The 4313-nt window shown below is 42.5% G+C and overlaps 1 annotated feature.

The window, feature by feature from the left end:
• Positions 3367-3980: an enhancer, noted in NCBI's record as "H3K27ac-H3K4me1 hESC enhancer chr4:150769633-150770246 (GRCh37/hg19 assembly coordinates)". NCBI's record gives its function as "activates a minimal SCP1, AML or CMV promoter by ChIP-STARR-seq in naive H9 embryonic stem cells {active_cell/tissue: H9 hESC(naive)}" and the evidence as "EXISTENCE:reporter gene assay evidence [ECO:0000049][PMID:30033119]".

Raw genomic sequence — 4313 nt, 5'->3', positions numbered from 1 at the left:
GTTCACTCATGATTCGGCTCTCTGTTTGTCTGTTGTTGGTGTATAAGAATGCTTGTGATTTTTGTACATTGATTTTGTATCCTGAGACTTTGCTGAAGTTGCTTATCAGCTTAAGGAGATTTCGGGCTGAGACAGTAGGGTTTTCTAGATATACAATCATGTCGTCTGCAAAGAGGGACAATTTGACTTCCTCTTTTCCTAACTGAATACCCTTTATTTCCTTCTACTGCCTAATTGGCCTGGCCAGAACTTCCAACACTATGTTGAATAGGAGTGGTGAGAGAGGGCATCCCTGTCTTGTGCCACTTTTCAAAGGGAATGCTTCCAGTTTTTGCCCATTCAGTATGATATTGGCTGTGGGTTTGTCATAGATTGCTCTTATTATTTTTAGATATGTCCCATCAATACCTAATTTATTGAGAGTTTTTAGCATGAAGGGTTGTTGAATTTTGTCAAAGGCCTTTTCTGCATCTATTGAGATAATCATGTGGTTTTTGTCTTTGGTTCTGTTTATATGCTGGATTACATTTATTGATTTGCGTATATTGAACCAGCCTTGCATCCCAGGGATGAAGCCCACTTGATCATGGTGGATAAGCTTTTTGATGTGCTGCTGGATTTGGTTTGCCAGTATTTTATTGAGGATTTTTGCATCAATGTTCATCAAGGATATTGGTCTAAAATTCTCTTTTTTAGTTGTGTCTCTGCCTGGCTTTGGTATCAGGATGATGCTGGCCTCATAAAATGAGTTAGGGAGGATTCCCTCTTTTTCTATTGATTGGAATAGTTTCAGAAGGAATGGTACCAGTTCCTCCTTGTACCTCTGGTAGAATTCGGCTGTGAATCCATCTGGTCCTGGACTCTTTTTGGTTGGTAAGCTATTGATTATTGCCACAATTTCAGCTCCTGTTATTGGTGTATTCAGAGATTCAACTTCTTCCTGGTTTAGTCTTGGGAGGGTGTATGTGTCCAGGAATTTATCCATTTCTTCTAGATTTTCTAGTTTATTTCCGTAGAGGTTTTTGTAGTATTCTCTGATGGTAGTTTGTATGTCTGTGGGATCGGTGGTGATATCCCTTTTCTCATTTTTTATTGCATCTATTTGATTCTTCTCTCTTTTTTCTTTATTAGTCTTGCTAGCGGTCTATCTATTTTGTTGATCCTTTCAAAAAACCAGTTCCTGGATTCATTAATTTTTTGAAGGGTTTTTTGTGTCTCTATTTCCTTCAGTTCTGCTCTGATTTTAGTTATTTCTTGCCTTCTGCTAGCTTTTGAATGTGTTTGCTCTTGCTTTTGTAGTTCTTTTAATTGTGATGTTAGGGTGTCAGTTTTGGATCTTTCCTGCTTTCTCTTGTGGGCATTTAGTGCTATAAATTTCCCTCTACACACTGCTTTGAATGCGTCCCAGAGATTCTGGTATGTTGTGTCTTTGTTCTTGTTGGTTTCAAAGAACATCTTTATTTCTGCCTTCATTTCGTTATGTACCCAGTAGTCATTCAGGAGCAGGTTGTTCAGTTTCCATGTAGCTGAGCGGTTTTGAGTGAGATTCTTAATCCTGAATTCTAGTTTGATTGCACTGTGGTCTGAGAGATAGTTTGTTATAATTTCTGATCTTTTACATTTGCTGAGGAGAGCTTTACTTCCAACTATGTGGTCAATTTTGGAATAGGTGTGGTGTGGTGCTGAAAAAAATGTATATTCTGTTGATTTGGGGTGGAGAGTTCTGTAGATGTCTATTAGGTCCACTTGATGCAGAGCAGAGTTCAGTTCCTGGGTATCCTTGTTAACTTTCTGTCTCTTTGATCTGTCTAATGTTGACAGTGGGGTGTTAAAGTCTCACATTATTATTGTGTGGGAATCTAAGTCTCTTTGTAGGTCACTCAGGACTTGCTTTATGAATCTGGGTGCTCCTGTATTGGGTGCATATATATTTAAGATAGTTAGCTCTTCTTGTTGAATTGATCCCTTTACCATTAAGTAATGGCCTTCTTTGTCTCTTTTGATCTCAGTTGGTTTAAAGTCTGTTGTATCAGAGACTAGGATTGCAACCCCTGCCTTTTTTTGTTTTCCATTTGCTTGGTAGATCTTCCTCCATCCTTTTATTTTGAGTCTATGTGTGTCTCTGTACGTGAGATGGGTTTCCTAAATACAGCACACTGATGGGTCTTGACTCTTTATCCAATTTGCCAGTCTGTGTCTTTTAATTGGAGCATTTAGTCCATTTACATTTAAAGTTAATATTGTTCTGTGTGAATTTGATCCTGTCATTATGATGTTAGCTGGTTATTTTGCTCGTTAGTTGATGCAGTTTCTTCCTAGTCTCGATGGTCTTTACATTTTGGCATGATTTTGCAGCGGCTGGTACCGGTTGTTCCTTTCCATGTTTAGCGCTTCCTTGAGGAGCTCTTTTAGGGCAGGCGTGGTGGTGACAAAGTCTCCCAGCATTTGCTTGTCTGTAAAGTATTTTATTTCTCCTTCACTTATGAAGCTTAGTTTGGCTGGATATGAAATTCTGGGTTGAAGATTCTTTTATTTAAGAATGTTGAATATTGACCCCCACTCTCTTCTGGCTTGTAGGGTTTCTGCCGAGAGACCTGCTGTTAGTCTGATGGGCTTCCCTTTGAGGGTAACCCGACCTTTCTCTCTGGCTGCCCTTAACATTTTTTCCTTCATTTCAACTTTGGTGAATCTGACAATTATGTGTCTTGGAGTTGCTCTTCTCGAGGAGTATCTTTGTGGCATTCTCTGTATTTCCTGAATCTGAACATTGGCCTGCCTTGCTAGATTGGGGAAGTTCTCCTGGATAATATCCTGCAGAGTGTTTTCCAACTTGGTTCCATTCTCCCCATCACTTTCTGGTACACCAATCAGACGTAGATTTGGTCTTTTCACATAGTCCCATATTTCTTGGAGGCTTTGCTCATTTCTTTTTATTCTTTTTTCTCTAAACTTCCCTTCTCACTTCATTTCATTCATTTCATCTTCCATTGCTGATACCCTTTCTTCCAGTTGATCGCATCGGCTCCTGAGGCTCCTGCATTCTTCATGTAGTTCTCGAGCCTTGGTTTTCAGCTCCATCAGCTCCTTTAAGCACTTCTCTGTATTGGTTTTTCTAGTTATACATTCTTCTAAATTTTTTTCAAAGTTTTCAACTTGTTTGCCTTTCGTTTGAATTTCCTCCCGTAGCTCAGAGTAATTTGATCGTCTGAAGCCTTCTTCTCTCAGCTCGTCAAAGTCATTCTCCGTCCAGCTTTGTTCCGTTGCTGGTGAGGAACTGCGTTCCTTTGGAGGAGGAGAGGCACTCTGCTTTTTAGAGTTTCCATTTTTTCTGCTCTGTTTTTTTTCCCATCTTTGTGGTTTTATCTACTTTTGGTCTTTGATGATGGTGATGTACAGATGGGTTTTTGGTGTGGATGTCCTTTCTGTTTGTTAGTTTTCCTTCTCACAGACAATACCGTTAGCTGCAGGTCTGTGGGAGTACCTGGCCATGTGAGGTGTCAGTCTGCCCCTGTTGGGCGGTGCCTCCCAGTTAGACTGCTCGGGGGTCAGGGGTCAGGGACCCACTTGAGGAGGCAGTGTGCCCGTTCTCAGATCTCCAGCTGCGTGCTGGGAGAACCACTGCTCTCTTCAAAGCTGTCAGACAGGGACATTTAAGTCTGCAGAGGTTACTGCTGTCTTTTTGTTTGTCTGTGCCCTGCCCCCAGAGGTGGAGCCTACAGAGGCAGGCAGGCCTCCTTGAGCTGTGGTGGGCTCCACCCAGTTCGAGCTTCCTGGCTGCTTTGTTTACCTAAGCAAGCCTGGGCAATGGCGGGCGCCCCTCCCCCAGCCTTGCTGCGGCCTTGCAGTTTGATCTCAGACTGCTGTGCTAGCAATCAGCGAGACTCTGTGGGCATAGGACCCTCCGAGCCAGGTGTGGGATATAATCTCGTGGTGCGCCGTTTTTTAAGCCTGTTGGTAAAGTGCAGTATTTGGGTGGGAGTGACCTGATTTTCCAGGTGCCGTCTGTCACCACTTTCTTTGACTAGGAAAGGGAACTCCCTGACCCCTTGTGCTTCCCGAGTGAGGCAATGCCTGGTCCTGTTTCAGCTCGCGCACGGTGCGCGCACCCACTGACCTGCGCCCACTGTCTGGCACTCCCTAGTGAGATGAACCCGGTACCTCAGATGGAAATGCAGAAATCACCCCTCTTCTGCGTCACTCACACTGGGAGCTGTAGACCGGAGCTGTTCCTATTCGGCCATCTTGGCTCCTCCCCCTATATTTCTTTTTAAATGAACTATCTATACATAACTTAAAAAAAAAAAAAAAAAAAA

This window comes from Homo sapiens, chromosome 4 (genome assembly GCF_000001405.40).
Source record: "Homo sapiens chromosome 4, GRCh38.p14 Primary Assembly".
NCBI lineage: Eukaryota > Metazoa > Chordata > Mammalia > Primates > Hominidae > Homo > Homo sapiens.
The sequence above is the reverse complement of the archived record's forward strand: the minus strand, read 5'-3'. Positions and strand labels throughout refer to the sequence as shown.